At 51.0% G+C, this 24,138-nt stretch overlaps 1 protein-coding gene across 16 annotated transcripts in view; it reads left to right on the top strand.

Annotated features, from left to right (window-relative positions):
• Positions 1–24,138, top strand: part of TRPV4 (transient receptor potential cation channel subfamily V member 4) — a 50,312-nt gene that overhangs the window by 19,794 nt on the left and 6,380 nt on the right. For 6 of the 16 annotated variants that reach the window (XM_017019774.2, XM_011538630.3, NM_001177431.1 and 3 more), the window contains exons 3-12: positions 5,137–5,309; positions 10,462–10,614; positions 12,847–12,987; positions 14,693–14,991; positions 16,901–17,080; positions 19,118–19,276; positions 19,583–19,675; positions 20,005–20,078; positions 20,788–20,953; positions 21,176–21,242. In XM_017019774.2, the coding sequence (XP_016875263.1) occupies positions 5,137–5,309; positions 10,462–10,614; positions 12,847–12,987; positions 14,693–14,991; positions 16,901–17,080; positions 19,118–19,276; positions 19,583–19,675; positions 20,005–20,078; positions 20,788–20,953; positions 21,176–21,242 (1,505 nt within the window). Of the gene's footprint in view, positions 1–5,136; positions 5,310–10,461; positions 10,615–12,846; positions 12,988–14,692; positions 14,992–16,900; positions 17,081–19,117; positions 19,277–19,582; positions 19,676–20,004; positions 20,079–20,787; positions 20,954–21,175; positions 21,243–24,138 lie in introns of those variants that run through there. The other 10 variants (XM_047429293.1, XM_011538631.3, NM_001177428.1 and 7 more) reach the window with 4 other exon arrangements.

Below are 24,138 nucleotides of genomic sequence, written 5' to 3'. Positions count from 1 at the left end.
TCCATTCATCCATCCACCCACTCATTTATACAATGCATCCATCCACCCACTCATTTATACAAATGCAAATGCATTTATACAAATGCAAACTCAGCCATTTACCCATTTACCCATTCACCCTTCCACCCACTCATTTATACAACTATTTACTCATCTAACTCTCCATTCATTCATCTGCTTTTTTTTTCTTTTTGAGATGGAGTCTTGCTCTGTTGCCCAGGCTGGAGTGCAATGGCATGATCTCGGCTCACTGAAACCTCCACCTCCTGGGTTCAAGCAATTCTCCAGTCTCAGCCTCCCGAGTAGCGGGATTACAGGCACCCGCCACCACACCCAGCTAATTTTTTTTGTATTTTTAGTAGAGACAGGTTTTCACCATCTTGGCCAGGCTGGTCTTGAACTCCTGACCTCGTGATCCACCTGCCTTGGCCTCCCAAAGTGCTGGGATTATAGGTGTGAGCCACCGCATCCCGCCTCATCTTTTTTTATTCACCTACATATCCACGTACTCATCTGTCCCCCATTAATCTACTTGTCTGTCCATCTCTTCACCTACACATCCAGCCTTCCATTTGTTTATCTTCTTATTTATACATCTGTTCATCCATCCATCCATCCATCCATTTATCCATCTATCATCTACTCATTCATTTACCCATCTTTACACTTTTTTGTCCACCTATCCAATCTATAGATCCATTGTCCACTCATTAAAATATCTATCTACTCATCTACCCATCTGTCAGCCATCTGTCCAGCCATACACCCATATAACCAACCTTCCATTCATCTACCATTTTCTCATCTGAATGTCATTTCATCTTCTCACCTACCCACTGTTTCTAGTCATCTAGCCATTCAGCTATCAAACTATTCATCATTCATTCATTTATTCATTCATTCATTCCATTTCTCATGCTTGATTGCTCACCTGCCTGCTGTCCTTCTTTCCTTCCTCTCCTTCTCTCTTCTAACCACCAATTCATTCACCCAGATCTCTGTCCATCCATTTGTCCATTCACTCTTTTGTTTGCTTAGTCACTGACTCATTTATTCATTTGCTCATCTTTTCTTCCATTTTTGCATCTATTCATCCATCCATCTCCCTACCTTCTCTTCCTGGCACACATCCAGCTGCCCCTCCTGGGTCTTCTTCAATCATCACCTCCATTCCTGGCCATCCAGTGGCTTTCCTGAGGCTTAGAAAGAGCTGGAAACCCCAAGGCATTCAACCTTCTTTCCCATAATGACAGCCTTGCTGAAAGAAAAGACAGACTGGAGAGAAGCCCTGGATGGGGCCACAGCATGTGGCCCCTATGACGCATTCCATGCCAGGCCTAGCTGGGGACAGGGAGCCTCCAGCCCCCTTGACCACCTTGTCTGGTCCCCATCCTCCCCCAGTGTGTTATGCTGGCATCTGCATGTGGTTTGTGTGGCACTCTGCAAACTCAGACATCCCGGGTTCTGTTTCCAGCATGACTCTATTGTCTGTCACCTGCAGACTCCCTGCTTTGTGAGGTTGAGCCCTCCCTCCTGGTCCTTTAGGAAGCCCAGGGACTTCCACAAGCTTTTGGCAGTTTGGAGGAGGGAGCAGGGCTTGCAGTCTCCTAGCCAGCTCCTCCTGAGCCTCAGCAGGCCCTGCTGAACTGTATCCTTTCTATGTCCCGGCCCTGCTGTCCCTAATGTGCCCTGAATTGACCCTTTCCTCAACTGCTCCATGAAATCTCCTCTCGGTGGCCTGTGTGTGTGTCCTGGAGGATGGTGCTGAGGTCTGGAGATGACCTGGACTTGCGTGTCCTCCTCTGTCCCCCTGCTGGCCACAGATTCATTTATCTCTTGGATGGAGCCGATTCACCTTCACAGCCCTTGCTTGGTCAAGAGCCGCCCCCTTTATTTATTCACAGTCATTGATTCATTCAGATGTCTCTTTTTCTTTTTTTTTTTTTTGAGACAGGTTCTTTCTCTGCCACTCAGGCTGGAGTGCAGTGGCGCTATCTTGGCTTACTGCAACCTCCACCTCCCAGGTTCAAGCAATTCTCCAGCCTCAGCCTCCTGGGTAGCTGGAGCTACAGGTGTGCACGACCACAACCGGCTAATTTTTGTATTTTTAGTAGAGACAGGGTTTTACCATGTTGGCCAGGCTAGTCTCGAACTACTGTCCTCAAGTGACCTGCCCACCTCGGCCTCCCAAAATGCTGGGATTACAGGCGTGAGCCACCGCACCCAGCCAGTGGATGTTTCTTGGGTGCCCACTGTCTGCCAGTCAGTGGGGTTGGCCCTGAGGCTTCAGGCTGAGCCAGACCAGATCCACTTCTACTCAGGCGGCACTTTCCGTTTAGAGGGTGAGACAGACAAGAAGCAAGTAGCTGAGCACATGGATGTGCCATGTGAGTTGGGGGAGGTGCTGAAGTTAGAGAGTGGGTGGATACAAGAAAGGTAATCCAGGAGGGCTTCTTGGAGGAGTTGACATTTAAGCCCAAAGCTAAAGGTCATGAAGGGGCAGTCACAGAGAGGGAGGGAAGGGTGTTGTAGGTGGAGAGAAGTGTGAGTGCAAGGGCCTAAGGCTGGAGAGGCTCTGCAGATGTCGCCAAGGAATAGGGCCTCACAGTTGTCTGTGCTGAAAAATCTGTACAACCTCTGCTCAGAGGTGGAAACTAAGGGCCAGAGCAGCAGAGTGCCCAGTGTTCCCATCCTTCTGTCCCCAAGCCTTCCCAGGTCCTGTTGAAAGCTGGTGGGCTCTGTATCTCCCATTCCCCTCCCGCAAGCCCTCCTCCCCACCCCTACCCCAGGAAGTCCAGGCTGGTGGAGTAAGTGGGGCACGGCTGAGCCCTGAAGGCTGCCTCAGTGAGATCTGGTGGGGGCAGTATTGCTTTTTATTTTTTGGCTCAAAGGTCAAAGTTCAGGAAGAGGTAAAGTGGGGGCTGCCTAAGTGCCCTCATTAGAGGCTGTATCTGTGCCTGTGCCCCTGTCAACAGGAGAGCACGTCTTACCCTACTGTGGATGCTAATGATCCCCTTTGCCAGTACCTGCCCTGAGATGGAAAATCTCAACCCCTGGCGAAGAGGAAGGGAGGAGAGTGGCTGTCCCCTTCTCATGGCAAGACAGGCTGGGTACAGCCAGATGCCAGCTTTGTCCACCCTTGCAACCCCGTCCCACCTGCTTCCACAACCTGCCCTGGCCTCAGTTTCCCCAACTGCATTCCCCTTCCCCTCTGGCCCTGCTGCCTCTTGTTAGGGTTTTCTCTGTTCCCCTACTCTCCCCTCTTCTCCCTCCCAGACCCTGTGCCTCCATCTTCCTCCTTCTCTTTAGTCTCTTATTCATTGAACAGAGTCTTACTGCATCCCAAGATGTGCCAGGCACTGGGCCAGGTAAGAATGTGACAGAGAGAGCATTCCTGCCTCATGGTGGCCCTGGGCTAGCTCTTTCTCTCTCAGAACCTAGCACATAATAGGTGCCGAAATAATGTTTGTTGAATGACTGAATGAGTGTCTCCAAGCCCTCCAGCTCTTAGTGTCTGTTTCCTTCCTTTCTCTCTCTATCTCTTCTCTTCCCAGCCCTCTCTGTGCCACACCCTTCCGCCATCTGCCTCTGTAGCCCCACATCTCTCCCATGCACATACAAGCTCCAGACACACAGTAGGCACTCATTAATAATGGTAATATCAACTAACATTTATTGAATGTTTACCGTGTGGTGGGCCATGGGCAGGTACATATGAGCATGGCCTCATTTGTCTCAAATGTTTGTTGAATGAATAAATTAATGGGTTAGTTATGGAATGAATGGATGAAATGCCTCATCTTTTAGTCTGCTGTTTCTTTATTTTATCTTTGTTTTTGTCTCTTTCAGTTTCTCTGCCTTAGTAAGTACTCAATAAATGACTAATATATGAGTGGGTGGGTGAGTGGATGGGCAGTTGGATGGATGGATGGATGGATGGATGGATGGATGGGTGGGTGGGTGGATAGGCAGATGGATGGATAGACGAGTGATGGATGGATGGATGGATGGATGGGTGAGTGGATGGATGGGCAGATGGGTGGATGGATGAGTGGGTGGATGGATGGATGAGTAGTGGATGGATGGGTGGACAGATGGAGGAGTGAGTGGATGGGTAGATGAATGGATGAGTGATGGATGGATGGATGGATGGATGAGTGGGTGGATGGATGGATGGATCAGTGAGGGATGGATGGATGGATGAGTGATGGATGGATGAATGGGTGGATGGATGATGGGTGGGTAGGTGGATGGGTGGATGCTGGGTGGGTGGATGTATGGATGAGGGATGGATGGATGGATGGGCGGGTAGGTGGATGGATGGATGGGCGGGTAGTTAGATGGGTGGATGAATGGATGGATGGGTGGGTGGATGGGTAGATGGATGGATGAGTGATGGACGGATGGATAAGTGGATGGATGGGTGGATGGATGGATGAGTGATGGATGGATGAGTGATGAATGGATGGATGGGTGGGTAGGTGGATGGGTGAATGGTGGGTGGGTGGATGGATGGATGGATGAGTGGGCAGATGGATGGATGAGTGATGGATGGATGGATGGATGGGTGGGTGGATGGGTAGATGGATGGATGGATGAGTGATGGATGGATGGATGGGTGAGTGGATGGGTAGATGGATGGATGGATGGATGAATGATGGATGGATGGGTGGATAGATGGAGGAGTGGGTGGATGGGTAGATGGATGGATGAGTGATGGTTGGATGGATAGATGGGTGGATGGGTAGATGGATGGATGGATGGATGAGTGATGGATGGATGGGTGGATAGATGGATGAGTGGGTGGATAGGTAGATGGATAGATGAGTGATGGATGGATGGATGGATAGATGGATGGGTCGGTGAGTGGATGTGTGGATGGATGGGTGGATAGATGTATGGGCAGTCTGTGCATTTCTTTCTGTTTGTCTCCACCCAACACACAGTAGGTACTAGCTATAGTTTGTTGGATAAAACATTACTTAGTTTTTACATCTGCCCCAACTACCTCACCCTGTTCCTTGTAAGGCTTCAGCTGCCTGCCCGCCACCACAGTCTCTGGGTCCCTAAGGCCAGGGACAGTGGGGCAGGCAGGGGATGAGCCCTCCCATCAACTTGCCTCCCTACCTCCTCCAGGAAGCAGCCGCAGAGCCCCAAAGCCCCTGCCCCTCAGCCGCCCCCCATCCTCAAAGTCTTCAACCGGCCTATCCTCTTTGACATCGTGTCCCGGGGCTCCACTGCTGACCTGGACGGGCTGCTCCCATTCTTGCTGACCCACAAGAAACGCCTAACTGATGAGGAGTTTCGAGGTGAGCCACCCAGATGGGCATAGCCAGTGGGACAGCCAGGGGTGTGGGGGAAGCCTGGCATTGGGGGCCCCCTTTCCCCTCAGCTTCTTTCTTTGGGTCGGTGGACTGCATTGGCCTGGAAAGTGCACTGGACAGGGAGTCTGGTCCTGTGTGTCCTTCACCATGTTACTTAACCTCTCTGTGCCTCAGCTACCTCCATTTATTCATTCTTTCATTCATTCAGCCCTTATGTATGAAAAGGTTAGTGTAGTGGGTAAGCAGAGTCCACCTACCTGGGTTCAGATTCTACCTTTACCAGTTAAGCGATGTGTGACCTCTCTGAGCCTCCGTTTCCTCATCTGTAAACTGGGGAATAATCATAGCATACTCCTGGCTCTCATCCCACAGAGAGCCCAGCGCAGGCAGCTGGAGTCCTGGAGCTCCTGCTCCCCTGAGGGAAGGTCTGGAGGGATGGGCAGGTGTCTGGGCTGGTAGTCCTGATTCTACTTCTTGGGGTCTGCTCCACCCCAGCCTAGCTTTAGGGCTCCACTTCCTAGGCTGAAGCCCCAGCCCAGAGAGCTAACCCTTCAGCCTTGTCCAGATTCAAAACACCCACCTCAGGACACCGGCACCCTCCACAGCCCCAGGCCTTACCTGTGAACACCTGCACCCAAATCAGCCACCTGCAATGTGCTGGGTTCTGGGTAAGCCATTATTAAACTGGCCGTGATCTCACAAGTCAAGATACCATGTCAAGAAGTGTGACACCAAGGCTGGGCATGGTGGCTCACACCTGTAATCCCAGCACTTTGGGAGGCCAAGGCAGGAGGGTTGCATGAGCCTGGGAGGCTCAGGCTGCAGTGAGCTGTGATCATGCCACTGCACTCCAGCCTGGGTGACAGACAGGAAAAAAAAAAAAAAAAGAATTGTGATACCTGCTATGAAGAAGGGCCCATCTTGGAAGGCGGACCATGGTTGGTCTACAGCCTAAGTCTGAGGAGGCTTCAGGGATGTCAGAAGAGGCTTTTTTTTTTTTTTTTGAGACAGAGTTTCATTCTTGTTGCCCAGGCTGGAGTGCAATGGCATGATCTCTGCTCACTGCAACCTCCGCCTCCTGGGTTCAAGTGATTCTCCTGCCTCAGCCTCCCAAGTAGCTGGGATTACAGGCATGCGCCACCACGCCCGGCTAATTTTGTATTTTTAGTAGAGACGGGGTCGCTCCATGTTGGTCAGGTTGGTCTTGAACTCTCGACCTCAGGTGATCTGCCCGCCTTGGCCTCCCGAAGTGCTGGGATTATAGGCATGAGCCACTGTGCCCAGCCAGAAGAGGACATTTTTTAAGACTTCAGTTACTTTAAGTAAATTAAGTTCCCAAACAGGGTGAACAAGTCTGTGCTACATCATCCACATATACCTTTATCAACCTGTTTTTTTTTTTTTTTTCTTTTTTTTTTTTGAGATAGGGTCTCATTCTGTCACCCAGGCTGGAATGCTGTGGTGTGATCACAGCTCCCTGCAGCCTTGAACTTCTGGCCTCAAGCAATCCTCCTGCTTCGGCCTCGAGAGTAGTTGGGACTACAGGTGCAAGCTACCATGCCTGGCTAAATTTTTTTTTTTCTTTTTTTTTAAGAGACAGGTCTCACTATGTTGCCCAGGCTGGTATCAAACTCCTGGCTTCAAGCGATCCTCCTGCCTCAACCTCCCAAAGTGCTGGGATTACAGGCATGAGCCACTGAGGCTGGCCTCAACCTCATTCTTACCCTGAAACAATACGATGCAGTATCATTGTGTCCATCAGGAGACAATTACTGGGGCCGGGTGCGGTGGCTCATGCCTATAATCCCAGCACTTTGGGAGGCTGAGGCGGGTGGATCACCTAAGGTCAGGAGTTTGAGACCAGCCTTGCCAACATGGTAAAAACCTGTCTCTACTAAAAATACAAAAAAAAAAAAAAAAAAGCCAGGCTTAGTGGCACACACCTGTAATTTCAGCTACTTAGGAAGCTGAGCCAGGAGAATCACTTGAACCTGGGAGGTGGGGGTTGCAGTGAGCCGAGATTGCACCACTGCACTCCAGCCTGGGCGAAAGAGCGAGACTCTGTCTCAAAAAAAAAAAGAAAATACAATTGCTGGATTTATGAAAAATATTCATTCATGGTTCCTGGCCACGCGACGTGGCCTCGTTTGGAGGCACAAGTTTAGAGCTGTGGGAGGACGGGGCTTCTCTCTGCTCCTGGAGTAGCTCAGTGATGGCATGAGTAATCTCATTCGGAGATAACCCATGTTTAAGCCCTGGCCAAATGGCCTCTCCTGGTCCACCAAGTACGTGAGGCAAAAGTGCGGAATCTTGGGGTAGAGCGAATCCTGGGAGATGGATGCTGGCACCTGTGCCTTCAGCACCAGGCTAGCTTGTCAAGGCCTCTGGCTTCTTCTGAATTCAGGACTGAGTTGGGGGCTTCTAGCATAGTCCAGGAACCCAGATGCATGTGTGTCTGTGCATGAGTGTGGGTGGGGGACTCTAAGATAGGCTTTGGAGGTGGGTCTCTGAAATTGCAGAGGCTAGCGTATGTGCATAGAGGGAGACTTACTGTGAGGTCCATGATACTAATTAAGTGCCAGGGCCCCTGGCTAAGGCCCTTTCTGAGGTCCTCGACCTAGTCTACGTCCCACAAAACCTGGATCCGTCCCTGCATGGCTAAAAGGTCATGAGCTCATCTGATTATCAGGGAAGTCTGGGACGCCCTCCTGTGCCCCCACCTCCCCTCCGCAGAGTTTCACAACCTCCAATTTGGCAATTGTCAATTTAGAGCCCCTGGCTACAGCACCCCACCCTGGGCAGAGCCACTTCGCCACCTGGTGGCTGGTTCCTGGAACTGCATGTTCCACCTCATCTCTGGGAAGATGCTGCTCCTGACATCTTCTCCCAGGACCCAGGCGTCCCCTCCCTGGGTCTATAACCTGTGTCTGAAAGCCCGAATCCAGGGTCTCTAGTTCCACTTTGGGTCACCTATGGTTTGGAATTACCTGGGGTGCCCAGCTCTCGCCTTCATTCAATGTGTGTTAACTCAGCAAATGGTTGTTGGGCACCTACCACATACCAGGCACTGTGCTTGGCAGAGGCCGAATGATAGTGAGCAAAGCAGACATCACCCTGCCCTCAAGGTGCCCACAGGCTCCTGGACAGGACCATCATTGACCAAGCAACCACATAAATAAGCACACAGTTATGAACTGTAACAGGTGTCAACAAAAGGCTGTACTGGAGGATTTGACCTAGTCAGGGAAAATCCAGGAGAGCTTCCTGGAGGAGGTAACACTTGAGCAGAGTCTGAGTGAGTTGCAGTTAACCAGGTGAAAAGAGGAGGGAAGAATGTTTCAGATTGGGGTGGGGGTTCAGAGACAGCAGGTGCAAAGACCCTGTAGTTCACCGTGGTCTATTGCAGTCTGAAATGACCATTCCAGCTGCTATGTGGAAAGTGGATAAAGGAAGGCCAGAGAGGCTGGGGGAAATGAGGGAAATAAAGGAGGTGTCTTAGGCATGTGAGAGGGATGGTGGCTGGGCCACATTATTCCATGAGAGGTTTGGTGTCGCCTCTGAGCTGGGCGCCAGGTGGACAGCGGGAAAGCAACTGGGAACAAGACTTGTCCCAAACAACCCTGCTCCTGGAAGGGCTGAGACTAGAATTCAGGTCTCTTGAGTCTGCCCCACTGATTCCCGGCATTTAGGGAGACGGTTCCTAAATCCCGTCTCATGGATTGATAACAGCAACAGTAATATTTATCAAAGACTGCTATCTGCCTGGTACTGGGCTAATCAACAAACACTGATTAGCTCTTTGATTTCCCTTCATAGCTTTAATTTAGCCAGAAAGGACCCTAAGCAGAGAAATGGTCATACAGCTGTGGGGAGCAAAGCCAGGCCTCAAACCTGAGGTGCCTGGCTTCAGAACGGGCACCTGAACCCACACCTGCGTCTCCCACCCTCTGGCCATTCCTGAGCCCCTGGCTGATTTTGCCCTGTCCTTGATTCACAGGGGAGTTTTCAACTTACTCTTTTGAGATATAAATCAACTCAGGTAACCATAAAAATAGCTACAACAGAAAGAAACTTGCAAAGAGACATCAGCAAGCGTTAGTGAGAGGTGTTAAGGACCCGCTAGTACCAAACGGAGAGTTGACTTCATGAGAAAGATTCGATAGTGGATGAAACCTTCAGGGTTATTATTGTTGCACCCCCTAGAACCCCCAAGATTCTCTCCTGGATCCCCTAAGGTCAGTTCACATCCACTGTGGCACACAGTCCCACACTTTGGGGAACGCTGCACCCCTCCACTCCCTTCTAGGGGCACCAGTGTAAATGCTTCATGGGAAAAGGATTCGATGCTCTGACAGGTGGGTGAATGCTGCCTAGTGTGTCTTGCTTTTACAGGTTCACAGTCCCTGTTAGTGTATGAAAGGCTCTGAGAAGTCCTGTAGTAAGGAATTATGATTGGCTTTGTTTAACCCAGCATTCTAACCATTTATTTGTTTATGAAGCACTTTACATAAATCTTTTCGAGGGCCAGGTGTGGTGGCTCACATCTGTAATCCCAGCACTTTGGGAGGCTGAGGTGGGAGGATCACTTGAGGCCAGGTGTTTGAGACCAGCCTGGGTAACAGAGTGAGATCCCTTCTCTACGAAAATAAAAATTAAAAAATTAGTTGAGCATGGAGGTGCACACCTGTAGTCTTAGCTGCTACTTGGGAGGCTGAGGTGGGAGGATCACTTGAGCCCAGGAATCGGAGGCTGCAATGAGCTAGGATTGCACAACTATACCCCAGGCTGGATGACAGAGCGAGACCCTCTCTCTCAAAAAAAAGGATATTAATAAATAAAAATAAATACAAAATCTTCCCAAATAAGATTAATTAAATAAATACCAATCTGTAGGCTGAAGCCTCTCACATTTCAAAGCACCTAACCCCATGCGTTTATTGTACCCTCTCAGCACCACTGGAGGCAGAAAGATAGAGTGGCCCTGGGTCCCCACTGGACAGATGAGGAAACAGGCTTGGAGAGGAGATGTTGACAGCCAGGACATCTGACCCCCTACCCAGTGTTCTGTACCCCGATGCCTGGAAGTTCAAGGTCATGGGCTGGAGCACTGCGTCATCTTGTGTGTCTCTCTTGCTAGAGCCATCTACGGGGAAGACCTGCCTGCCCAAGGCCTTGCTGAACCTGAGCAATGGCCGCAACGACACCATCCCTGTGCTGCTGGACATCGCGGAGCGCACCGGCAACATGAGGGAGTTCATTAACTCGCCCTTCCGTGACATCTACTATCGAGGTGGGGCCCCGGGCTGGGCAGGGGTGCCACGGGGGCTGATGGAGACGCTGTCCTTTGCTTGTCTGACTCCTGAGACTTTTGATCTGGGCCTAAGTGCCAGCATGTACCCAGGACCTGACAAATGGATGGATGGATGGATGGATGGATGGATGCATGGATGCATGGATAGATGGATGGATGAAGGAACGGTAACTACCCCTTCCAACTTTGTTTCGAGTTTCAGAATAGAAGATTCCACTGGGTGCGGTGGCTCTTACCTGTAATCCCAGCACTTTGGGAGGCCAAGGGGGGCAGATCGCTTGAGCCCAGGAGTTCAAGACCAGCATGGGCAACATGGTGAAATCCTGTCTTGACAAAAGATACAAAAAAAAAAAAATAAAATAAAAGAAGGCCAGGTGCGGTGGCTCACACCTGTAATCCCAGCACTTTGGGAGGCTGAGGTGGGCAGATCACTTGAGGTCAGGTGTTCAAGACCAGCCTGGCCAACATGGTGAAACCCTGTCTCTGCTGAAAATGCAAAAATTAGCCAGGCGTGGTGGTGCGCACCTATAATCTCAGCTACTTGGGAGGCTGAGGCAGGAGAATCGCTTGAACCTGGGAGGTGGAGGTTGCAGTGAGCCAATATCGCGCCATTGCACTCCAGCTTGGGCAACAAGAGCAAGACTCATCTCAAAAAAAAAAAAAAGATGCAAAAAAAGCCAGGCTTGTTGGTGCACACCTGTAGTCCCAGCTACTTGGGAGGCTGGGGTGGGAAGATCACTTGAGCTCAGAGGGTCAAGGCTTCAGTGAGCTATGATTGTGCCACTGCACTCCAGCCTGGGTGACAGAGTGAGACCCTGTCTCAAAAAAAAAAAAAAAAAGATTCCAAGATTCTGAGATGCAGCGAGTCTAGTGATCATGAACTCGGGATCTGGCCCTAAGATGCTGTGGTGGCGGATACTCTAAGGCTCTATGATAATAAGTCCTGAGTTCACAAGTTCTAAGAGGCAAAGGCAGCAGGGGGCCAAGAACTGGGCCAATCCCCAGTTGAGATTCTGTAAATCAGAGTTGACCTTCAGATGCCTGGATATTAAGATTCAAAATCCATGAATATTATATCTTGAGTCCAAAATTCTGGGAGGCCAAGGTACTGTTGTTTCCTCTAGGAGTTTTCTTTTTTTTGAGACAAGGTCTTGCTCTGTTACCCAAGCTGGAGTGCAGTGGTGTGATCATGGCTCACTGCAGCCTTGACTTCCTGGGCTCAAGGGAGTCTCCCACCTCACCCTCCCAAGTAGCTGGGACCACCGGCATGGACCACCATGCCAGGCTAATTTTTAAAATTTCTGTAGAGACAGGGTCTCACTATGTTGTTGTATTAGCCCGTTCTCATGCTGCTATAAAGAACTGCCCAAGACTGGATAATTTATAAAGGAAAGAGGCTTAATTGACTCACAGTTCCGCAGGGCTGGGGAGGCATCAGGAAACTTACAATCATTGTGGAAGGGGAAGCAAACATGTCCTTCTTCACATGGTGGTAGGAAGAAGAAGTGCCAAGCAAAAGGGGGAAAAGCCCCTTATAGAATCATCAGATCTCTTGAGGACTCACTCACTATCATGAAAACAGCATGAGGGTAACTGCCCCCATGATTAAATTACCTTTCACAGGGTCCCTCCCATGATACATGGGGATTATGGGAACTACAATTCAAGGTGAGATTTAGGTGTGGACACAGAGCCAAACCATATCAGTTGCCCAGGCTGGTACTGAACTGCTAGGCTTCAGCAATCCTCCTGCCTCAGCCTCTGGAGTAGCTGGGACCACAGGTGTAAGTCACCAGGCCCAGCTAATTTTTAGCATTTCTATAGAGATGGGATCTCACTGTGTTGCCCAGGCTTGCCTCAAACGCCTGGGCTCAGGTGATCTCCCTCCTTGGTCTCCCAAATTGCTGGGATTACAGGCGTGAGCCTGCGCCTGGCCTCCTCTAGGATTTTTAAAGCATCTTATGAATCTAAAAACTTCTCACATTCAGGATTCCACAAACTAGGTATCCTTCAGGCTTGAGATTCTGCTTCTGCGATGGATCCCAGGGAATATCCAAGGACCTATTTGCTGCCCTTGGGTGTCGCTGGGCAGGACTCTGCCTGCATCCCCCACCCCCCAATTTCTACGTCCTGCACCCTACCCCCACCCCCAGCAAGCCTGGCTAGGTCTCTGCTCCGCCAGGACCCTGGATGACCGTCCCCTGCCCCCAGGTCAGACAGCCCTGCACATCGCCATTGAGCGTCGCTGCAAACACTACGTGGAACTTCTCGTGGCCCAGGGAGCTGATGTCCACGCCCAGGCCCGTGGGCGCTTCTTCCAGCCCAAGGATGAGGGGGGCTACTTCTACTTTGGTAAGGAGGGGCCTGGTGGGGGCTGACAGCATGCTGGAGAAGCATGGCGGGAGATAGCATGATACTGGTTGGTGTCTGCAGCCCTGACCATCACCCAGACACCCAGGGCCACTCTGGCCATGAGCGCAGGCAGCACTCTGGACCACAGGCTGCACGTTGGTCTTGGTCACAGGGCCGTTGCCTCTGAGGTGTAAGTGCCATGGGGAGTACCATGGACCTGGATTCAGATCCTCACTCCAGCCAGGCACGGTGTCTCACACCTGTCATCCCAGCACTTTGGGAGGTCAAGGCAGGAGGATCGCTTGAGGGCAGGAGTTTGAGACCAGCCTAGGCAACATAGCAATACCCTGTCTCTTTTAAACATTTAAAAAATGGCTGGGCACGGTGGCTCATGCCTGTAATCCCAGCACTTTGGGAGGATGAGGCAGGTGGATCACCTGAGGTCAAGAGTTCAAGACCAGCCTGGCCAACAAGATGGTGAAACCCATCTCTACAAAAATAACAAAAATTAGCCGGGCATGGTGGTGGGTGCCTGTAATCCCAGCTACTTGGGAGGCTGAGGCAGGAGAATTGCTTGAACCTGGGGGACAGAGGTTGCAATGAGCCGAGATTTCCCCATTGCACTCCAGCTTGGGTGACAGAGTGAGACTCTGTCTCAAAAAATAAATAAATAAATAAATAAATAAATAAGTTAGATGGCATGGTGGCATGTGCTTGAAGTCCCAGCTGCTTGGGAGGCCGAGGCTGGAGGATCACTTGAACCTAGGAGTTCGAGGCTGCAGTAAGCCATGATTGCACCACTGCACTCCAGCCTGGAAAATAGAGCAAGACCCCGTCTTTAAAAAGCAAAAAGAAAAGAACAAAAAAAAAGCCAAATCCTCACTCTGCACTTTCCAGGCATGTGACCTCACTTCCCTGAGCCTCACCTTCCCCAGCTGTGCAGTGGGGATCACGAGAGGCCCTTGGGCTGTGATGTCAGCGCCCAGCTCTGTATTGTCTGTGTGCTTTAATCTGGTTTATGCTGGGACCAACAGCCCCATCACCAGGCCCAAAGCCCACCACTGCCGTTGTCATCACTGGACTCATGAAATATTTTGAATTTTGCCCCTGCTTAAAGGCATTCATTATGTGCAGCTCAGGGACAAAGTCACACAAAGAATTCCATCATCAGCTGGGCGCGGTGGCTCACGCCTGTAATCCCAGCACTTTGGGAGGCCGAGGTCGGCGGATCACTTGAGGTCAGGAGTTTGAGACCAGCCTGGCCAACATGGCGAAATCCTGCCTCTACTAAAAATACAAAAATTAGCCAGGTGTGGTGGCGTGCGCCTGTAATCCCAGCTACTCGGCTGAGGCACAAGAACTGCTTGCACCCGGGAGGTGGAGGTTGCAATGAGCCGAGATTGTGCCACTGCACTCCAGCCTAGGCGACAGAGTGAGACTTTGTCTCAAAAAAAAAAAAAAAAAGAATTCCATCATTGGATGTGTCCAGTCCCTCACAGCCTCCAAATCGCGTGGCTGTGCCCTTAACTAGCCACACCCCATCTCCCTGGCATCACCCAGAGAAACGTGCAGTTCATATCCACTGCTGGTGCTGTCTCCGTCATTATCCTCAGAGCGCCACGGTGTCCGTCCCCCGAGTGTCTGCAGGCAGAGTCCCACCCTGGGCCCCCTTCGCTGACCTCCCACCCTTCACCCTGGCCCGCAGGGGAGCTGCCCCTGTCGCTGGCTGCCTGCACCAACCAGCCCCACATTGTCAACTACCTGACGGAGAACCCCCACAAGAAGGCGGACATGCGGCGCCAGGACTCGCGAGGCAACACAGTGCTGCATGCGCTGGTGGCCATTGCTGACAACACCCGTGAGAACACCAAGTTTGTTACCAAGATGTACGACCTGCTGCTGCTCAAGTGTGCCCGCCTCTTCCCCGACAGCAACCTGGAGGCCGTGCTCAACAACGACGGCCTCTCGCCCCTCATGATGGCTGCCAAGACGGGCAAGATTGGGGTGAGTGTGCGGCTGGGGGCACAGCTGATCCACCTACTCGTACCCCTCTGCACACACACACGAGGGTCTGCTGCTGGTATTCATTATTAATACGTGCATGCACCTCCCAACATGCCAACCCCAGTGTGCAGATGTCCCAGCTCAAGAACCTGCTATGGCTCCCTAGTGTCCAGCCAAGCTCCTTAGCTTCATCCCCGAGCCTCTCGCCTCATGTCACCCTACTGGATGTTCACCACTCCACCCCCACCAGCCAGGATGAGCCACTGATAAGAAACTGAGTCCCCGGGCCCTAGCCCAGCGGTGCTCCCAGCCTCAAACCTGTTGAATGGCCCTGCCCCAGTTCCTTCCCTTTTCTGGGCCGCGCAGCATGGGGCCTGGAGAAGGGTTTCTCAACTTCAGCATGATTATTTTGGGCGGCAGGCTCTTTGTGGTGGGGACCGTCTTGTGCTATTGCCAGACATTGATCTGCATCCCGGGCCTCTACCCACCAGATGCCAGGAACACCTCCCCTTACACTTGTGACCACCAAAAATATCTCCAGAACATTGCTGAATTGTCCTCTGGGGGGCACCATCGCTGGATTGGGAACCAAGTCTGGAGTATGCTAGAGGCAGGAGCACCTGTCCAAGCCCTGGCGCTACCACTTCCCAGTGTGTGACCTCAGACATCTCATTTCCCTTTTCTGTGCCTCAGTTTCCTTGTCTGTAAAATGGGGATATAAGAGTGTCCTCTGGTGTGGTGTTGTGACAAATGCGGTGATCCACATAAGGCTCTTAGGAAGGAGCCTGGGAGAAGCAGTAAGTGTCACTTACATGTCTGTAATGCCAGCTAGTTGGGAGGCTGAGGTGAGAGGATCGTTTAAGTCCAGCCTGGATTATTTGAGATCCCAAATAAATAAAAACCAAAATAAAAAAAAATGTAGCAAAAATTACTAAAATTGCAATTATACCATGGCCCTGAGGCAGTAGAAAGGCTCCAGTTTAAATCCTGGCTTTGGCTAGGCTCAGTGGCTCGTGTCTGTAATCCTAGCACTTTGGGAGGCTGAGGTGGGAGGAGCACTTGAGCCCAGGAGGTTGAGGCTGCAATGAGCTGTGATAGTGCCATTGCACTCCAGCCTGGGCAACAGAGCCAGACCCTGTCTCAAAAAACCCCAAAATCCTGGCTGTGCACAGTGGCTCATGCCTGTAATCCCAGCACTTTGGGAGGCCGAGGTGGGCGGATCACCTGAGGTCAGGAGTTCAAGACCAGCCTGGCCAACATGGTGAAACCCCGTCTCTACTAAAAATACAAAAATATTAGCTGGGTGTGATAGTGGGCACCTGTAATCCCAGCTACTCAGGAGGCTGAGGCAGGAGAATTGCTTGAACCTAGGAGGAGAGGGTTGCAGTGTGCTGAGATCGCGCCACTGCACTCCAGCCTGGGTGACAGAGAGAGACTCTGTCTCAAAACAAAAACCCCAAAATCCTAACATTGCCTGACCTTGGGCAATTCCCACCCCTCTCTGTGCCTCCGCTTCCCTGTGTGTAAGCCAGGGAAGGAGGAGTGGTAACAGGAAGGACCGCATGTGATCGTCAGTATTATAATTCACATGTCATTAAGATGGATTCATTGCTATTTTAACGGCATGAAGAAGATATTCATTACAATTAAGATGTTGAAGGCTCATCCAGGTTCTGTCTGGCTCCAGCTGACTGGTTAAGTGGCTTCTGGAACACCCTTCGTTTTTCCCAGCCTCCATTCTTTATCTGTAAACCAAGATAATAAGAGCAAGAATTAAACAAGATGAGGAAAGGGTCCTCCAGCAGCCGGTGCTTAGCTGTTTTCTGGGGAGGCGTCATGTGCTGAGCTGGGCCCAGCCCTGGGGGTCTTTCCAGTGTGAGCCCCCTGACCCTCCTGGCCCCCTGTGCAGATCTTTCAGCACATCATCCGGCGGGAGGTGACGGATGAGGACACACGGCACCTGTCCCGCAAGTTCAAGGACTGGGCCTATGGGCCAGTGTATTCCTCGCTTTATGACCTCTCCTCCCTGGACACGTGTGGGGAAGAGGCCTCCGTGCTGGAGATCCTGGTGTACAACAGCAAGATTGAGGTGGGCTCCAGGAGGGGGCATGGGGTGTGAGGAAGGAGGGGCAGGGCTGGGAGTAGGGACAGGGCCCTGGGGCTGGGCTGGGGGAGACAGCCCCAGCCTCTAGGACCCAACGTGGTGGGTCTGTTGGCTGAATGCAAGAGAAGGTGCCAACTAAGTGCCCAGAACAGTGTCTGCCATGTGAGGAAATGAGCAAGACTTGTGGGAAGATGGACTTTTGGGGCAGGTAGGACTGGGTTGGGATCCTGGCTCTGTAACTTACATGCTGTGTGTCTCAGGACAAGTGGCTCCACCTCTCTGGGTCTCAGCTTCTTCATTTGTAACCTGGGGATAAGGATCATGGATATCCCATGGGGTTCTTGGGAGGACCAAAGAGGTTAATTTTAGAATGGCTTGGCACAGAGTAAACATTATGTCAGCTTTTACTACTCATGGTTGTTATATGAACTTTTGAAAGCTCTTTTTTTTCGGTCAGGCATGGTGGCTTATGCCTGTAATTCTAGCATTTTGGGGAGCCAAGGTGGGCGGATTGCTTGAAGCCAGGAGTTTGAGACTAGCCTGGGCAATATGGCGAAACCCCGTCTCTACCAAAAAAAAATAATAAAAATGAAAATTAGCTAGGCATGGTGGTGCGAGCCTGTAGTCCCAGCTACTTGGGAGGCGAGGTGGGAGGATCACCTGAGCCTGGGGAGGTCGAGGCTTCAGTGAGCCGAGATCATGCCACTGCACTCCAGCCTGGGTGACAGAGTGAGATCCTGTCTCAAAATAAACAAACAAACAAACAAACAAAAAACCAAGCTTTTTTTTCCCTACTTAGCAGTATTTTGTGAACGTCGTTCTGTACTTTTAAATATTCTTTGGTAATATTGTCGCTGCATGTAAACATACCATATTCAAATGAACTGTTCTCTTATTGCTGGTCGCTTGGGTTTGTTTCTGCCTTTATCAGGAATAACACTATAAGAGCATCTCTGTGGCTGCTTTATTGCACAAATCATGATTATAGAGAAACTCAAGTTAATAAAGGGCTAGGAAGCTATAAAAATGGAGCAGAAAATGCTGGGGACTGGGTGCAGGTGGTCTTCCTTCTAGCCCTGCCCTGTGGCTTACTGGTCTGTGAGCTTGGCTTCCTTGCAAGACCTCATTTCCCTCATTTTTTGAATTAGTGACCATCTTGATTTAAATTAGTGGTGGCAGGAGGTTTAGCATCTCAGGTGCAAACTGATTGATTAGTAGTGTCTACCCAGGGAACTGTATGAATACAATTGTGCAGGGCTCAATTATTGATGTCTGCCCTGGGTTCAGAATTGGAGAATTGTGGTGAGTCAATCATTTATCATCTTTGGGCAAAATTTCTCAATCTTTCTCTCTGAATCAGAATTTCTGAGAGCGGAGGCCAGGATTTATACTTGCAGCAAGTTACATAAATTATTTTGCGGCCAGCAGCTTGGTACTATCCACAGATTGGAGTTTGGGAACCATGAGAATAAATGTCTTTTTTTCTTTTTTGAGATGGAGTCTCACTCTTGTTGCCCAGGCTGGAGTGCAGTAGTGCGATCTAGGCTCACTGCAATCTCCGCCTCCCAGGTTCAAGTGATTCTCCTGCCTCAGCCTTAGGAGTAGCTGGGATTACAGGTGTGCACCACCACGCCCGGCTAATTGTTGTGTTTTTAGTGGAGACAGGGTTTCACCACATTGGCCAGGCTGATCTTGAACTGCTGACCTTAGGTGATCCGCCTGTCTTGGCCTCCCAAAGTGCTAGGATTACAGGCATGAGCCACTGCGGCCGGCCTGAAAATAAATGTCTTTTAAGGGACTTTCCAGTTCCGAGTTCTGTGATGCTAGAATAGGGTGGAAAGGTACATTGAGGCAGAATTGGGCAGCTGAATCCATTCATGAATCCGTGAATGCAGCTGAGGAATGGATGGAAAGAGAAAGCGCTGTCCGGGTGGAGGGTGGGGGAAGGCACACCCGAGGCAGCCTGCCTGGACCCCCCACCCATCTCAGGAAGGCAGCCCCCGACCACCCTGCCTCTCTTAGAACCGCCACGAGATGCTGGCTGTGGAGCCCATCAATGAACTGCTGCGGGACAAGTGGCGCAAGTTCGGGGCCGTCTCCTTCTACATCAACGTGGTCTCCTACCTGTGTGCCATGGTCATCTTCACTCTCACCGCCTACTACCAGCCGCTGGAGGGCACAGTGAGTGCCCGGGGACCGGGCAGGGGCTGGGGCAGGCACTGGGCTGAGCCATGCAGGACTGGGGCACAACCTCATCCTTCTGGGTCCCCTGTAGGGGGACCCGGAGAAGGTTTAGGAACAGGTTGGGGAGGCGCCCTCCAGCATCCACGGGTGGCCCTGAGCTGGGAGGAGGAAGACTCAGGAGGAAGAGAGTGAAGGAGGAGGCTCCATGGGATGCCGATGTTTCGGGCCTGGGGGAACATCTGGATTGGGGGCCAGATGTTGGAGGGGCTGGGTGACGACCTGTGTGCCCTTGCTGCTCCCCAGCCGCCGTACCCTTACCGCACCACGGTGGACTACCTGCGGCTGGCTGGCGAGGTCATTACGCTCTTCACTGGGGTCCTGTTCTTCTTCACCAACGTAAGTGCCTGGCCCCCGTGCCCCCCACCCTGCCTGCCCTCCTCTTCTCTTCCTGCACCTCTTTTCTCTCCCTCTTTTTCTCTTCTCTCTCCTCCAAATGGTCCTTCTCCTTTCCTTCCTCCTTTTATTTTCCCATTTCTCTTCTACCTCCTCCAATCCCACGTTCTCCATCTCTGCTTTTTTCTCCTTTTCTAACAGGAAAGAGTCCTTTGTCTTTTCTCTGTACCAGCCTCTGCCTCCCTCTCTTCTATCCCTTTCTCTGTCTCCTCTCTCCTCCTCTCCTCTCCTGCTGGCCCCACCCCTTTCACGTGCCCCCTCCTGTCTTCCAGATCAAAGACTTGTTCATGAAGAAATGCCCTGGAGTGAATTCTCTCTTCATTGATGGCTCCTTCCAGCTGCTCTAGTGAGTAGAGGTCCCTGGGCCGGCAGCTTCTGGGTGAGGAAGGTGGGTTTGGGCTGCTAGGTCGTCCAGATTCAGGAGAGAGGTGATTCTGTTAGAAATGAATGCACCCAACCTGGGCAGCTCTAACCCAAAGTCAGGACAAAGCCACAAACAATAGGGTCTTCTGGTTCAAGAAAAATTCTGATTGCTAGGGAGTTATCATATACAACATGGATAGAAATAATTTTAACCTCTTATGCTGGTGAATGATTGCTAATGTCTGCCTGAAGTGCCATGTTAAGAATTTTGCACCTGTGTCTGTGTTTAGTGGGAAAGAGTTGGGATTGATTAATGATGTCTGCCTGGGACAGAGAATGAGAGAGTTACTGAGTGTGTGTTACCTCTTTCACATTTCCCTTAGAGTTGGAGAATGATGAAATTCACTTAGCCACAAAATCTCCACTGAACACCACTAAATCTTTCTTTAGCAATTCCAAGGGGCATCACTTCAGGATCCTGTGGGACCTCAGGATTAATTGCCAGCTAATTGAATGTTCTTGTTAACAGAATGCTGGGGAACCCTGCTAATCCACTTTGTTTCTTTTCTGGGGGTCTAGAAGGCATTGGGAAGTCCTGATACCCTGGAGGGCTTGGAGGCGTGTCTTCCCCTCCAGAGCCTCATTGTCCCCTCTCCCCTCTGGCCTCTCTTGTGGTCTCTGCTGCACTGCAGCTTCATCTACTCTGTCCTGGTGATCGTCTCAGCAGCCCTCTACCTGGCAGGGATCGAGGCCTACCTGGCCGTGATGGTCTTTGCCCTGGTCCTGGGCTGGATGAATGCCCTTTACTTCACCCGTGGGCTGAAGCTGACGGGGACCTATAGCATCATGATCCAGAAGGTACGGGCTGGGAGGACCCTCTGGACTCGTGTGTTCCTGGAGGGAGTCACACACACACCACATGCACACTTATGCACCTGCAGACCTGAGGATGCTGGGTACCGTGGGGGCAGGAGGCATGGTCTGGACACTGGGGTGGGACCAGGGTGGAGATGGAGGAATGGGGAAAGTGAGAAACCATGTGTCTCCTCTTTGCCTCCATAATCCCGCTGGGGTCTTTAGATTCTCTTCAAGGACCTTTTCCGATTCCTGCTCGTCTACTTGCTCTTCATGATCGGCTACGCTTCAGGTGAGCTCTGGGTGCTCAGGTGGTCCTGGCAGGGGTGGTGCAAGGACGGGAACAGTAGCCATGATGTATAGGGGACAATAGCAGCCTTGCTGAGTTCTTTTTTTTTTTTTTTTTTTTTTGAGGTGGAGTTTTGCTCCTGTTGCCCGGGCTGGAGTGCAATGGCACAATCTCAGCTCACTGTAACCTCCACCTCCCAGGTTCAAGTAATTCTGCCTCAGCCTCCCACGTAGTTGGGATTACGGGCTCCTGCCACCACGCCCCACTATTTTTTAATTTTTTTTTTTTTGTATTTTTAGTAGAGATGGGGTTTCACCATGTTGGCCATGCTGGTCTTGAACTCCTGACCTCAGGTGATCCACCCTCCTTGGCCTCCCAAAATGGTGGGATTACAGGTGTGAGCCAACGCGCCTGGCCACTGAGTTCTTATTTGTGTGCCAGGCACCAGACTAAGTACGTTTCCATCCTTGCCTCCCAACAAGCCTGTAAGCTAAGTGCCTTTATTATCCCCTATTATAGAAAAGGAAACTGAGGCTTAGGAGGGTTAAATAACTAGCACAAGTTCAAAAGCCAGTGAATGGTGGCCGGGCGCAGTGGCTCACATCTGTAATCCCAGCACTTCAGGAGGCTGAGGCGGGTAGATCACTTGAGGTCAGGAGTTTGAGACCAGCCTGGCCAACATGGCAAAACCCCGTCTCTACCAAAAAATACAAAAATTAGACAGGCATGGTGGCGCGCAACTATAGACCCAGCTACTCGGGAGGCTGAGGCACAAGAATCGCTTGAACCCAGGGGGTGGAGGTTGCAGTAAGCCAAGATGGCACCACTGCACTCCAGCCTGGGCAACACAGCGAGACTCTGTCTCAAAAAAAAAAAAAAAAAAAAAGCTGGTGAATGGCAAAACTGGAGTATTAGCTATTGCTACAAAGGAAGCCACCTAAAGTGGGGCTTAAAATAGCACCCACTTATTATTATTATTTTTTTTGTGGCAAGGTCTCACTCTGTCACCAAGGCTGGAGGGCAGTGGTGCTCTTGGCTCACTGCAATCTCTGCCTCCTGGGTTCAAGCGATTCTCTTGCCTCAGCCTCTCGAATAGCTGGGATTACAGGCGTGTGCCACCACGCATGGCTAAGTTTTATATTTTTGGTAGAGATGGGGTTTCACTATGTTGGCCAGGCTGGTCTCGAACTCCTGACCCCAAGTGATCCACCCACCTTGGCCTCCCAAAGTGCTGGGATTACAGGCGTGAGCCACTGTACCAGGCCAACTTACTATTGCTTATGAGTCAATGGGTCAGCTGGGTGGCTGTGCTGCCCTGGGCCAGGTTTGGCTGATCCCTACAGGCTCTTGTGCCTGTGGTCAGCTGGCAGGCTGGCTGCTGGCTGACTGGTCTAGCTAGTATGGACTTGGTTAGAGGGGGTTTGCTATCTATCTTCCACATGGTCACTCATTTCTGGACAGCTAGCTTGGGCTTGTCCACATGGTGGCCTTAGGGTTCCAAGAACATGAGCAGAAGTGTTCAAGGACACCTCCTGGCATGGCATCACTGCTGCCTTACTCTGTTGGCCAAAGCAAGTCACAAGGCCAGCCTCGATTCAAGGGATGGGGAAATAGACGCCACTTCTTTTTTTCCATTTTTTTTTTTTGGTGGAGGCAGGGTCTTGCTATGTTGCCCAGGCTGGTCTTGAACTCCTGGGCTCAAGCAGTCCTCCTGCCTCAGCCTCCCAAAGTGCAGGATTATAGGCGCGAGCCACTGCACCTGGCCTAGACTCCACTTCTTAGTGGGAGAAGCTGTAAAGCCACATTGAAGGAGGATGGATACATGGAAGGATAAAATTTAATAATTAAACTAGCAGCCCAGGTATTTTCTTAAAGCCCAACATCAGCTCCCTTGATATACCTTCTTCGTGATGTCATGATGCCACTAAGAAGCATTCTGGGACCTCAGTGGCATGGGTCATGGGAGAAGGACCAGGGACCAGGGCTGGAGAAACTGACCAAGTCCTTGGGCTGATCCCCGAGGTGTGGGTAATCTGACATCAATGCCCAGCATCCAAAGGGGAATGGCCAACTCAGGTTAGACCTGGACACATACACATCTGAGCAGGTTCATCTGGGGACGAGCCTGGCACAGGAATCTGACAAGGGTGATATTTTAACCCACGATAGTGGCCAAGTCTCTAGGTAGATTATTGGTGGGAAGTGGAATTGTAGTTTTCACTGGGGAGATAGGGACAGGGTACAGCTTTCCCTTCCCAGGGATCACACTGGACAAACTAGACAGTGTCAAGGGTTCAACAACAGTTTGGGATTCAGGTCAGGGATCTAGCCCTACTGCAGTCCTAGTTATTGAAACTAAGGAGAAACAAGGGTTAGAGTAGCAGCTTAGCAGTCAGCTTGGTTGCAGGTCTTCTCCTTATAGGATGCACTAGATCTCAATTCTGAGGCTGACATGACATAAACAGGACACACATGCTTCTGTTCCCACACTTTGGTGTCCATAGCAGACATCACTAATGGATCACAGAACAGTTTTTCCGGTGAGTCCAGACAAGGTCTCAGAATCCTTCTCAACACAGTGTTTCACCAGGTACTATACAACTGAAGAACATTAGCATATGAGTTGAAATCTGCATACTCTAATCCCTGGTTGCAGGCAGTATGACATTCTGTGCCCCACTGACTGATGGGACTGAGTCTTCTTCATGCTCCCCTCCCTGGCTGGTTTAGGGACAGGTTGTTGCTGCCAAACTGTGTTGAGAAGGAATCTGAAGCTCCACCTGGGCTTAGTAGGAAAGGAGAACCATGATGAGTTTGAGATGTCTAGAGCAGGAGAGGCCCCTTAGAGAACACGGCTTTGGGGACAGTCAGGACTGATGCCTGGTTTCAGCCCCCACTT

The sequence above is a fragment of the Homo sapiens genome, chromosome 12, assembly GCF_000001405.40.
Source record: "Homo sapiens chromosome 12, GRCh38.p14 Primary Assembly".
NCBI classification, from domain to species: Eukaryota; Metazoa; Chordata; class Mammalia; order Primates; family Hominidae; genus Homo; species Homo sapiens.
This window is presented reverse-complemented; position numbering and strand designations above follow the sequence as displayed.